Here is a 13,753-nt window from a genome sequence, read left to right as displayed (position 1 = left end):
GCTTTCTAGAACTTTCTTTCATATCTGTACTGTGTGACCACCTCATTACATGTCCTATCAAGCCTTCACAAAGAGCATACCATTGATGTAAAACAGTATGGTCAACTGGACAACTTTTTGAAAAGAAATATAATTGGTTTAATGAAGAGGAATCCCATATAGGAGTGTAAATATGATATGGTTCTGCTTTTCCAGTCCCTGCTTTCTGCTGGGCTCTGTCTAATACTTCTTCCCACTAGAAGAGTGAAATTCCTTAAAGACATGTCAGTTTAAGCCCATAGCTCTTCAATCACTTTCAGTTATCAAAATCATCTCATTTTAGGCCATAAAGTTCAGTTCCTGTTTATAGGCACCTCTCAATTTCAAATTCAAGGCACAGCTCCCCATCCTGCTCACCCTTGCCAAGCCCAGACTAGACTGGAGCATTACGGGACACAGTCAACTCTCCCTGACACACCCCTCCTGACTTGCTATGCAATTCCTGCTGATGTTGGGGTGGGAGGAGAGAGCAGGAAGATAGCACTGGCTCCATACAAGCCGGTGGACGTTTGACCCTTTCCTTGGTTGGTTGTAACTACTTTTCTGTTTTCTCTCATCTGGATATGGATGGATGATGGTCTCAACAGGCCTCATGGATGTGAGACTCACTTTCAAACTGATTCTGAGGTATGTGGAGTCCCTTAAGAGGAGCGATCACATCTTCAGGATGGCCCCACTATGGGTAGTCTAAGCTGCCCTCCCTGGGAGGCCTTGGCTCCTTGCTCCTTGGTGATGGCCCCCAGTGAGCCCACATCCCCTACCTCATCAACCCAAAAAGGCCCATAATCCTGGAATTGGCCAGCATACGTAAAATCTATCTATTTTCTGTACCTCTAGGAATAAGATGTGTGAAGGGATGGTTTTTGCCTCCTCCTTATCTGGTCATCTCTCTTAATCATCTCTCCAAGGGTTCTTTCTCTAGCCCCAACCAGCAGTTGAAATGCCAGCCTACCCCTCTCGAAGACATTCCCATGTTGTACAGATGATTCTCTCCAGGCCCAGCTCCTTCCACTTGTCTTGGAGTTACTCTCCATCCCCATAAGGAGAGCAAGGTGAGACACAGCTGCTTTTCATACTGTTCTCCTACTTAAAAAACCATTTCGCCCCCTCACAGTCCTCTATTGGATGTGAGATGATGGGATGGGAGACTAGGAGGGGCTGCAAGGAGTACTGGGATTTGGTGTTGGTGCTAGTGTGGGACCTGCTGAAAGTGTTGCCTCTCAGCAAGTGATTCTGGAATGTTTCTATGCCAACAGCTGGCCATCCTCTTTATTTATGATGTGGGGAAACTAGTGGTTTTGTTTTCAGCAGTAAAGTGAATTATCAGTTCCAAACAATGTGGAAAACAACTCCTACTTGGCACCTATCTTCATCTTGTTGCATAAATATCTCCACATTTTTTTTAAGAGACAGAGTCTCGCTCTGTCACCCAGGCTGGAGTGCAGTGGCATGATCACAGTTCACCGCAGCCTCGAAGTCCTGGTCTCAAACAATCCTCTCACCTCAGCCTCCCCAGTAGCAAGGACTATATGTGAACACCACCACACCCAGCTAACTTTTAAAATGTTGTTATAAGACATGGTCTTGCTATGTTGCCGAGGCTGACCTCAAACTTCTGGCCTCAAGTGATCCTCCCACCTCCGACCCCTAAAGTGCTAGGATTACAGGTGTGAGCCACTGTAGCTGGCCACTAACTTTTTAAAGGTATTATTAAGTCTGGTGCCTTTTGGGGTGATTTTGCAGCCTCTATGAACTTTTGTCTGTTTTTCCTAATGTTTTCATGTCTGCCTGAGGAAGGTTTGCTGGTTGTTCCTTTACTGTTTAGTTCATTTCTAGCCAATGATCCCTGACCTACTCTGTGGAATTGCTAGCCATCACATCTAAGTTCCAGGCACCAGGACTTGAAGCTGGGAAAAGCCCACTCCACCCCTTTTAAGGAGATGTTCTGGAAGGACCACATAACCCCTCTGCTAAGGTCAGAACCCAGTCCCAAAGCCCATCCAGCTACCGGGGAGGCTGGGAAAGGCAGTCCTCTGGCTGAGCGCATTGCTGCCTCAAATAACATGATAGTAACGTAGGCAACTGGGAGTCTCTACCGCATCCACAGAGCACGAAAATCCCAGATCATTCTCTTTTATGGTTTAATTAAAGAAGTTTCCTAAATTATTTTTCCTATTAAAAAAGCAATCAGTATTTGTTAAAAGGAAAAAAAATAAACAAATGTAACTATAGGTTCATGCAAAAGTAATTGTGGTTTTTGCCATTACTTTATTTTATTTTATTTTGAGACGGAGTCTCACTCTGTTGCCCAGGCTGGAGTGCAGTGGCACCATCTTGGCTCACTGCATCCTCTGCCTCTCAGGTTCAAGTGATTCTCCTGACTCAGCCTCCCGAATAGCTGGGACTACAGGCACATGCCACCATGCCTGGCTAATTTTTGTATTTTTAGTAGAGAGGAGGTTTCACCATGTTGGCCAGGCTGATCTCGAATTCCTGACCTCAGGTGATCCAGCTGCCTTGGCCTCCCAAAGTGCTGGGATTACAGGCGTGAGCCACCATGCTTGGTCTGTTTTTGCCATTACTTTAAAGGCAAAATCACAATTACTTTTGCACAGCCTAATATAAAGTACCCCCATAGGCCTACCCATCAGAAACAATCATTAAGATATTTATCTTCTAGATTTTTCTATCTGTGCATATATGTCTTTTCTATAAGAATGGCTGGGCGTGGGTGGCTCATGCCTATAATCCCAGCACTTTGGGAGGCTAATGTGGGTGGATCACTTGAGATCAGGAGTTCGAGAACAGCCTGGCCAACATAGTGAAACCCCATCTCCACTAAAAGTACAAAAATTAGCTGGGCATGGTGGTGGGGACCTGTAGTTCCAGCTACTTGGGAGGCTGAGACAGGAGGATCACTTGAACCCGGGAGGCAGAGGTTGCAGTGAGGCGAGATCACGCCTCTCACTCCAGCCTGGGTGACAAAGCAAGACTCCATTTCAAAAAAAAAAAAAAAGAAAAGATTACACATCTGTAACCCTTAGGTCTAGGTCTTGATAAATAGGTAATTTGAGGGGATATCTGAGGATTTTCTTTGAAATATACTGTAATTTATTTCAGCAATCCACCAAGTGTTGGACATGGGGTTATTTCAGCTATTTCTCTTTTGCCAAACATTTTGGGTGTTTCCAATTTTTCATTACCATACACAGTGTAGAGCTGGAATTGTTTGAAATTTAATTCCAAATTTAAAACATCAAAAGAATAAGAGAAAATACTTACTGCACTGAAAAAAGTAAAGAGGGGAGACAAAAAGTGCCAAACACATGCATTAATGATTGCAAAACCTCCCTTGTGATCAGCCAAAATGATTTAACAAATGAAAAATCCATGACTGAAATCCATTTTTGACCAAAATTATCTCACTGGCCAACTTATGTTTGACCAAATTGCTTTTGCTCAAATTGCTTTCAGTCCAATCATCTGGAGCTGAATTAAATGAGCAAACTCTCTTGGAAGGCATTTAGGGCACCCAATTTGAACCTGCATCTTTTTCTTTAGAGAAGTGTTAGGGTAAAGTTGGTAGGATGTGCTATTGCCCTTTCAATCAGAAAGGAGAAGTTACACACTGAAGACCCATCTTTTTACTTTCTCAGACCTCAAGTTTTGCTCAAATAGGATTCCAAAAAGTTTGGAGCACCTCTTCAGAATACACAATCAGAGATTTTCTGACACACCTCAGATATAGACAGAGGATGCCCAGAAGACCCACCCAGCCTTGAGTTCTTAGAAACAAGGAGGCTTTCACTCCTTTTGATACCCATCCCAGAAACAGAGAATGAACTGCTCTTTTCCCTCGGCTTTTCTCAGGATTTCTCTGAAGCTAAATTAATTGCCACCTTTTGTACTCATGACTGCGGATTCATTTCTCCAAGAGTCCCTTTCCTTGAGAGGCACTGAAATAATGTCTTATGGCAATTTCCTGGCCCTTTTGTTTTTTTCTGCCTTTATCTCATTAACTCCAGCAACCGGGCCCTCGGCAAAGGTAATGAGGGAATCCTACTTTTTGTGGGGATAAGAGGACCAACTTGAGTGTTATCCATCAGGTAGGTGCAGCTGAGCTCAGGGGAAACATGTGGGTAGTTCTAAGCCAAGCCAGCCTATCTATCCAGATTCCCTTAGGGACTAGGTTCTGCAGGAAAGCTGTGGAGATCTGAGAAGGCACCTTTTAAGCATCAACATTTTTATTTTATTTTAGTCATTTAAGATGGCAATCTTTTGTAGAGAATTTGTAATCTAGCAGGAGAGATAGAGAATTTGTAGAGAATTTGTAGTCTAGCAGGAGAGATAGAGAACTAATCAACTAGTTACAAAACTTTCTGGTAATTAAATGAATTGTGAAAAGAATGGTTTGGGAACACAGAAAGTAACATCTAACTCTCCCTGACTTTCAGAAAGGGAGATCCTTAGAGAGAAGTTGATGTCAAGCGTTAAAGAAATGCTCCAGTTCAAAAATAGTGAAGATGATGGAAGAACATTCCAGGCATAAAGAAGCATATGCAAAAACCCAGACTTGTAAAGGACATGCTTAGAGGAACTTCCAACAGTTTGGGCTAGCCAGATGGTAGTGTGCATTGGTGAATGGAAAGAATTTGGACTAAGTCTCAGAGAGGCTGGTATGTCATACTGAAAGGTCTAAATACGACTCTTGAACTTCTTTTACAGGGAGGGAATACATAAGCTCGTGACACTCTTTGGGGATGTAAAAAAATCAAATGTCATTTATATGTGGTACATGATAAAGAAAGAGTTTTGCATTAAAAATATTTTTAGGTTAGTATTATTTCAGATTATAATACATTTCACTTTTTAATGCCATCTTTAGTAATTATTTTAAAATATAAATATTTTGTTCCACTTAATAAGCAACACATGCTCCTTAATTTAACTTAATTATGTAAGGAAAGGCATGATTTCTGACCAATCCATTTAACATTAACATCTTGTTTTGTGGGTGTGTTTTGAGATTGGACACACTTAATATAGAATAATTTTGCCTGCATTTTACAGTAGCAAAAATAGACTAAAATTGCTTCCATGACCTAATGTTGGAATGCTTGCCTTTGCCATTAAAAAAAAAAACTGAGTGGTTTATTTTTGAAATGTTCATGTTTGTTTCTAAATGATGAAATTAGAAAAGGGTTTCAGGCTGCTCTCTCCCAGTTCTTCCCAGCAAAGAACACATTACAGGTATTAATGGTCTTTATACCCAATAAACTAGAGATGCAATTGCACATAACAGCCACTAGCTTCTTGAAGTATCAGAGATATTTTTGTTGTTGTTGACATAGAGATATTTTGAAGTGCTATATAAGAAGTTTTATTATGTAACTGCAACTTTTAGATCTCATGAACTCATCTTGAAGAGAATTTAGAGAATGTTCTTTCTGATGTTTTTCATAGTTTGTTGTATTTCAACGTGGGAATCTTCACGTGTCCCATCTTTTGCCATGAATCCAGTCCGGGTATAAATTCTAAGATATATGACCAAAAATAAAAACAACTTAAAATAGTATAACAGCTAATACCCCTACAGTGCATATTAGTAGTCCCCTGATACCCCAGCTGAATAAGAGCTTTAAGATAGTATTCCTGGCCAGGCGCAGTGGCTTGTGCCTTTAATTCCAGCACTTTGGGAGGCTGAGGTGGGAGGACGGCTTGAGCCTGGGAAGTTTGATCTCAACCTGACCAAGGCCAGCCCCATCGCTGCAGTGGACAGGAAATGTGAGAGGTGCTCCAGGCTCACAGAAGTGGGTCAGGGAAAAGACTGTTGGAATCCTATACTAACTCCAGGTGTCTGCAAACCCATAGTAACCCAGCCTTTAGCCCCAACCATTGGACAGTCCTATCTCATCTGCTAGGCTGAAGGCTCCCACATTTGTCCTCAACTCAGGTAAGACCTAGTCAACACAGAGCTATGACCTGTAATTCTTCCTGAAAGCTTCCAGGAAGAGAAGACACTTGAAAACAAAATACAGCTTTTTTTTTTTTTTAGAGTAGTTAGTTTCATGGGAAGATTGAGAGGAACATACAGAGATTTTTCATATATCCCCTGCCCCTACACATGCATAGGCTCTCCCATTATCAACGCTTTTCACTAGAGTGGTACATTTGTTACAACTGATGAACCTACACTGGTATATCATTATCACCCAGAGTCCGTAGTGTTTACATGAGGGTTCACTCTTGGTGTCATACATTCTATGGGTTTGGACAAATGTATGAGATGTATCTACCACTACAGTCATACAGAGTATTTCCACTGCCCTAAAAATCTCTCTGAGCACGGAAGACACTTTTTTTTCTGGAATCTTGGCATGTTGGAGAGGGTCTTCTGGTCAGACTGCCAATCTTCCTGATAAGGAATTTTTTTAAGTTTTTTATTTTTCCATAGGTTATTGGGGTACAGATGGCATTTGGTTACACGAGTAAGTTCTTTAGTGGTGATTTGTGATATTTTGGTGCACCCATCACCCAAGCAGTATATCCGATTTGTAGTCTTTTATCCCTTCCCCCGCTTCCACTCTTCCCCCCAAGTCCCCAAAGTCCATCGTATCATTCTTATGCCTTTGCGTCCTCATAGCTTAGCTCCCACATATCAGTGAGAACATAAGGTGTTTGGTTTTCCATTCCTGAGTTACTTCACTTAGAAAAATAGTCTCCAATCTCATCCAGGTCGCTGCAAATGCCATTAATTCATTCCTTTTTATGGCTGAGTAGTATTCCATCGTGTATATATATATATATATATATATATATATATATATATATATATATATATATATACCACAGTTTCTTTATCCACTCATTGAGTAATGGGCATTTCAGTTGGTCCCACGATTTTGCAATTGTGAATTGTGTTGCTATAAACATGTGTGTGCAAGTATCTTTTTCATATAATAACTTCTTTTCCTCTGTGTAGATACCCAGTAGTGGGATTGCTGGATCAAATGGCAGTTCTACTTTTAGTTATTTAAGGAATCTCCACACTGTTTTCTATAGGCTGTACTAGTTTACATTCCCACCACCAGTGTAAAAGTGTTCCCTGATCACCACATCCATGCCATCATCTACTATTTTTTATTTTTTGATTATGGCCAATTTTGCAGAAGTAAGGTGGTAACACATTGTGGTTTTGATTTGCATTTCCCTGATCATTAGTGATGTTGAGCATTTTTTCATGTTTGTTGGTCATTTGTATATCTTCTTTTGAGAATTGTCTATTCATGTCCTTAGCCCACTTTTTGATGGGATTGTTTTTTCTTACTGATTTGTTTGAATTTGTTGTAGATTCTGGATATGAGTCATTTGTCAGATGTATAGATTGTGAAGATTTTCTCCTACTATGCTTGTTGTCTGTTTGACAACTGTTCCTTTTGCTGTGCAAAAGCTCTTTAGTTTAATTAAGTCCCAACTATTTATCTTTGTTTTTATTGCATTTGCTTTTGGGTTCTTGACCGTAAAATCCCTGCCTAAGCCAATGTCTAGAAGGGTTTTTCCAACGTTATCTTCTAGCATTTTTATAGCTTCAGGTCTTATATTTAAGTGCTTAGTCCATCTTGAGTTGATTTTTGTATAAGGTGAGAGATGAGGATCCAGTTTCATTCTCCTACATGTGGCTAGCCAATTATCCCAGCACTATTTGCTGCAAAGGGTGTCCTTTCCCCACTTTTATGTTTTTGTTTGCTTTGTTGAAGGTCAGTTGGCTGTAAGTATTTGGGTTTATTTCTAGGTTCCCTATTCTGTTCCATTGGTCTATGTGCCTATTTTTATACCAGTACCATGCTGTTTTGGTGACTATGACCTTATAGTATAGTTTGAAATCAGTTAGTGTGATGCCTCCAGATCTGTTCCTTTTGCTTAGTCTTGCTTTGCCTATGCGGGCTCTTTTTTAGTTCCATATGAAATTTAGGATTGTTTTTTCTACTTCTGTGATGAATGATGGTGGTATTTTGATGGGGATTTCATTGAACATGTAGATTGCTTTTGTCAGTATAGTCATTTTCACAATATTGATTCTACTCATCCATGAGCATGGAATGGGTCATCTATGATTTCATTCAGCAGTGTTTTGTAGTTTTCCTTGTAGAGGTCTTTCGCTTCCTTTGTTGGGTATATTCTTAAGTATTTTATTTATTTATTCTTTTTTTTTTTTTGCAGCTATTGTAAAAGGGGTTGGGTTCTTGATTTGATTCACTGCTTGGTCGCTGTAGGTGTATAGAAGAGCTACTGATTTGTGTACATTAATCTTATATCCCAAAACTTTGCTGAATTCTTTTATCAGTTCTAGGAGCTTTCTGGAGGAGTCTTTAGGATTTTCAAGGTAAAGGATCATATTGTCAGCAAACAGTGACAGTTTGACTTCCTCTTTGTCGATTTTGATGCCCTTTATTTCTTTCTCTTGCCTGATTGCTCTGGCTAGGACCTCCAGTACTATGTTGAAAAGGAGTAGTGAGAGTGGGTATCCTTGTCTTGTTCCAGTTCTCAGAGGGAATGCTTTCAACTTTTTCCCATTCAATATGATGTTGGCTGTGGGTTTGTCATAGATGGCTTTTATTACATTTAGGTATGTCCCTTGTATGCTGATTTTGCTGAAAGTTTTAATCATAAAGGGATGCTGGATTTTGTCAAATGCTTTTTCTGCATCTACTGAGATGATCATGTGATTCTGGTTTTTAATTCTGTTTATGTGGTCTATCACATTTATTGACTTGTGTATGTTAAACCATCCCTGCATCCCTGGTATTAAAACCACTTGATCATGGTGGATTATCTTTTTGATATGCTGTTGGATTTGGTTAGCTAGTATTTTGTTAAGAATTTTAGCGTCTCTGTCCATCAAGGATATCGGTCCATAGTTTTCTTTTTTGATTATATCTTTTCCTGGTTTTGGTATAGGGTGATGCTGGTTTCATAGAATGAATTAGAAAGAGTTCCCTCTTTCTTGATCTTGTAGAATAGTGTCTAAAGAATTGGTATCAATTCTTCTTTGAATGTCTGGTAGAAGAACTCTGCTCTGAATCCATTTGGTCCTGGACTTCTTTTGTTGTTGGTAATTTTTTAATTACCACTTCAATCTTGCTGCTTGTTATCAGTCTGCTCAGGGTATCTAATTCTTCCTGATTTAAGCTAGGAGGGTTGTATTTTTCCAGGAATTTATCTATCTCTTCAAGGTTTTCTAGTTTATCTGCATAAAGGTGTTCACAGTAGCCTTGAATTATCTTTTGTATTTCAGTGGTGTCAGTTGTAATATCTCCTGTTTCATTTCTTAATGAAGTTATTTGGATTTTCTCTCTTCTTTTCTTGGTTAATCTTGCAACGGTCTATCAATTTTATTAAACTTTTCAAAGAACCTCATGTTTGTTTTATGTTTTGTATTTTTTTTGTTTCAATTTCATTTAGTTCTGCTCTGCTCTTGGTTATTTCCTTTCGTCTGCTGGGTTTGGGTTTGGTGTGCTCTTGTTTCTCTAGTTCCTTGAGGTGTGAGCTTAGAATATGAGTTTGTGCTCTTTCAATCTTTTTGATGTAGGCATTTAGGGCTACGAACTTTTCCTCTTAGCACCACCTTTGCTATACCCTGGAGGTTTTGATAGGTTGTATCGTTATTGTCATTCAGTTTGAATAATTTTTTAATTTCCATCTGGATTTTGGTTTTGACCTAATGCTCATTCAGGAACAGGTTATTTAACTTCCATGTATTTGCATGACTTTGAAGGCTCCTTTTGGAGTTGGTTTCCAGTTTTATTCCACTGTGGTCTGAGAGAGTACTTGATATAATTTCAATTTTCTTAAATCTATTGAGACTCATTTTATGGCCTATCATATGGTCTATCTTGGAAAAAGTTCCATGCACTGTTGAATAGAATGTGTATTCTGTGGTTGTTGGATGAAATGTTCTGTTTATATCTGTTAAGTCTATTTGTTCCAAGGTATAGTTTAAAACCATTGTTTCTTTGTTGACTTTCTGTTTCAATAACCTGTCTACTGCTGTCAGTGGAGTATTGAAGTCCCCCACTATTATTGTGTTGCTGTCTATCTCATTTCTTAGGTCTATTAGTAATCGTTTTATAAATTTGGGAGCTCCAGTGTTAGGTGTACATATGTTTAGGATTGTGATATTTTCCTGTTGGACAAGGCCATTTACCATTATATAATGTCCCTCTTTGTCTCTTTTAACTGCTGTTGCTTTAGAGTTTGTTTTGTCTGATACAAGAATGGCTACCCCTGCTCGCTTTTGGTGTCCATTTGAGTGAAATACCTTTTTCCACCCCTTTACTTGAAGTTTATGTGAGTCCGTATGTGTTAGGTGAGTCTCCCGCAGGCAGCAGAGAGTTAGTTGGTGAGTTCTTATCCATTCTGCAGTTCTGTATCTTTCAAGTGGAACATTTAGGCCATTTACAGTCAATGTTAGTATTGAGATGTGAGGTACCATTGCATTCATTGTGCTATTTGTTGCTTGCATACCTCGGTTTTTTTTTTGTTTTTGCTTTTTAACTTGCATTTTTGTTTTATAGGTTCTGTGTGATTTACGCTTTAAAGAGTTTCTGTTTGTATGTGTTTCCAGGATTTGTTTGAAGATTTAGAGCTCCTTTTAGCAGTTCTTATAGTGGTGGCTTGGTAGTGGCGAATTCTCTCAGCATTTGTTTGTCTGAAAAAGACTGCATCTTTCCTTCATATATGTTGCTTAGTTTTGCTGGATACAAAATTCTTGGCTGATAATTGTTTTGTTTGAGGAGGCTGAAGATAGGGCCCCAATCCCTTCTAGCTTTGCAGGGTTTCTGCTGGGAAATCTGCTGTTAATCTGATAGGTTTCCTTTATAGGTTACCTGAGTGTTTTTGTCTCACAGCTCTTAAAATTATTTTCTTTGTCTTAACTTTAGATAACCTGATGACAATATGCCTAGATGATGATCGTTTTGCGATGAATTTCCCAGCTGTTCTTTGTGCTTCTTTTATTTGCATGTCTAGGTCTCTAGCAAGGCCAGGGAAGTTTTCCTCGATTACTCCCCCAAATATGTTTTCAAAACTTTTAGATTTCTCTTCTTCCTCTGGAACACTGATTATTCTTAGGTTTGTTCCCTTAACATAATCCCAGACTTCTTGGAGGCTTTGTTCTTATTTTCTTATTGTTTTTCTTTGTCTTTGTTGGATTGGGTTAATTCCAAGACCTTGTCTTCGAGCTCTGAATTTCTTTTTCTACTTATTCAATTCCATTGCTGAGACTTTCCAGAGCATTTTGGATTTCTATAGGTGTGTCCAATATTTCCTGAAGTTTTGGTTGATTTTCTTTATGCTATCTATTTCCTTGAATATTTCTCCCTTCACTTCTTGCATCGTTTTTTGTATTTCCTTGCATTGGGCTTTGCCTTTCTCTGGTGCGTCCCTGATTGCTTGATAAGTAACCTCCTGAATTGTTTTTCAGGTAAATCAGGGATTTCTTCTTCTTGGTTTGGATCCACTGCTGGTGAGCAAGAGTGATTTTTGGGGGGTGTTAAAGAGCCTTGTTTTGTCATATTACCAGAGTTGGTTTTCTGGTTCCTTCTTATTTGGGTAGGCTCTGTCAGAGAGAAGGTTTAGGGCTGAGGGCTGTTGTTCAGATTCTTTTGTCCCATGGGGTGTTGCCTTGATGTAGTACTCTTCCTCTTTTCCTATGCATGTGGCTTCCTGTGAGCCAAGCTGCAGTGATTGTTATCTCTCTTCTGGGTCTAGCCACTTAGCAAGTCTACCCGGCTCTGGGCTGGTACTGGGGATTGTCTGCACATAGTCCTGTGATGTGAATCATCTATGGGTCTCTCAGTGTGGATACCAGTACCTGTTCCCATGGAGGTGGCAGGGGGTGAAATGGACTCTACGAGGTTGTCAGCTTTGGTGGTTTAATGTTCTATTTTTGTGCTGGTTGGCCTACTGCCAGGAGGTGGTGCTTTCCAGAAAGCATCAGCTGTGGTAGTATTGAGAGAAAATGGCAGTGGGCGGGGCCTTAAAACTCCCAAGAGTATATGCCCTTTGTCTTCAGCTACCAGGGTGCATAGGAAAGGCCCATCAGGTCGGGGCAGGGCTAAGCATGTCTGAGATCAGACTCTCCTTGGGCAGGTCTTGCTGTGGCTGCTGTGGGGTATGGGGGTGATGTTGCAAGGTCAATAGAGTAGTGTACCTAGCAGGATTATGGCTGCCTCTGCTGAGTCATGCAGGTTGTCAGGGAAGCGGGGGAAAGCCAGCAGTCACCAGCTTCACCCAGCTCCCACGCAAACCGAAGGGCCGATCTCACTCTCACCGTGCCCCTTCTAACAGCATTGTTTCTCTGCTCAGTTACACTACTATTGGCTGTTCTGGAAATCAGCAAACCAGTCAAATATGTTGTGTTCAATAGTTCCCTGGGGTTAGCAGACGTGGGCACACCTTAAAAACACAGTCAAGGTTGTCTTCAGCAACCTGTACCAGTCCTTTCTCTCTTCTGGTCCATCTGAAGTAGGTATTTTGTTTACAAATATTTCTCCAGCATCACACTCAGGAAATCTAAGATTAAATAAAAACTAAAAAGATGGTATTTCTGAAACATATTTCCTATAACATGTCCATCAAACAGAGAATGAAGAAATTGGAAGGATGAAAATGGAAGGAGGGATGGGGCATCAGTTGAGACAGAATGGGGGGTGGTACATTTTATGAATCCTCATTCCTACAAAATGAACCGCAAAGGCAGAGGCTTCTGTGTCTCTTGTATCTCCCCACATGCCCATCATGCTTTTTAAAAATCAGGCATTAAGAATTTGGGAATAGAAGGGACATTCATTTATTAAACATCATCTAAAATCAAGAGTCTAATCTTTAAAAACCTTCTTCAGTGGAGGGAGCTCACAGCCCTCTGACATGGGGGGAAGCTTATCTTCAGGCACACAAAATGGCAGAGGCCAGCAGGGGGCAGCAGCACAGCAGGAATATTGAGGCAAGCCTGGGGTATTGGGATGCAGCCAATGAAAAGTTGGCCAACAGGAAAATCATTGTCCTCTGCCCTTGGAAGAGCTTGATTAGAACCTGGAGCTTCACATAATAATCAAGATAAGAAATTTGGTGAAGTTCAATTTTCTTTTAAATTTTTGTCATGAAAAATTTCAAACACACACACACAGAATTAAAGAGAAAAGTATAGTGAACCAATATGTCCATTCCCCAGATTCATCATTATCAACATTCTGCCATACTTCCTCACCTGAACCTATTTTCTTTCTTTCTTTCTTATTTTAGAGACAATTGGAGTTTTAAATTTTAAAGTGTGTGTTCTTTCAAGGTGAGATTTGGTGAGTAGTCAAGCTCTAGTATAGTCCCACACTGCCATGAAGGACGTAAGCTCCTTTTATCCTTCTGCTCTGACACCCTTAGGTTACCTCATGGTGGCAAGATGGCAGCTGCACTTCTGGGAATCACATCCACATCCCAGGCAGAAGGCTGGGTGTAGTGGCTCATGCCTGTAGTCTCAGCACTTTGGGAGACCAAGGCGGGCAGATCACTTGAGATCAGGAGTTCAAGATCAGCCTGGTCAACATGGTGAAATCCTATCTCTACTAAAAATTCAAAAATTAGCTGGGCCTGGTGGTGGGCGTCTGTAATCCCAACTACTCAGGAGTCTGAGGAGGGAAAATCACTTGAACTCGGGAGG

The 13,753-nt window shown here is 40.3% G+C and overlaps 1 protein-coding gene across 1 annotated transcript in view, besides 1 other annotated feature; it reads right to left on the bottom strand.

The window, feature by feature from the left end:
* RGS6 (regulator of G protein signaling 6) overlaps positions 1 to 1,280 on the bottom strand; it is a 762,695-nt gene extending 761,415 nt beyond the window's left edge. The window contains exon 1 of the mRNA XM_024449761.2: positions 992 to 1,280. The gene's annotated coding sequence lies outside the window, so the exon portion shown is untranslated. The remainder of the gene's footprint in view (positions 1 to 991) is intronic.
* Positions 12,284 to 12,353: an enhancer, noted in NCBI's record as "active region_8680". NCBI's record gives its function as "activates an Ori minimal core promoter by ATAC-STARR-seq in GM12878 lymphoblastoid cells {active_cell/tissue: GM12878}" and the evidence as "EXISTENCE:reporter gene assay evidence [ECO:0000049][PMID:35858748]".

Source organism: Homo sapiens, chromosome 14, assembly GCF_000001405.40.
Source record: "Homo sapiens chromosome 14, GRCh38.p14 Primary Assembly".
Classification (NCBI taxonomy): Eukaryota; Metazoa; Chordata; class Mammalia; order Primates; family Hominidae; genus Homo; species Homo sapiens.
This window is presented reverse-complemented; position numbering and strand designations above follow the sequence as displayed.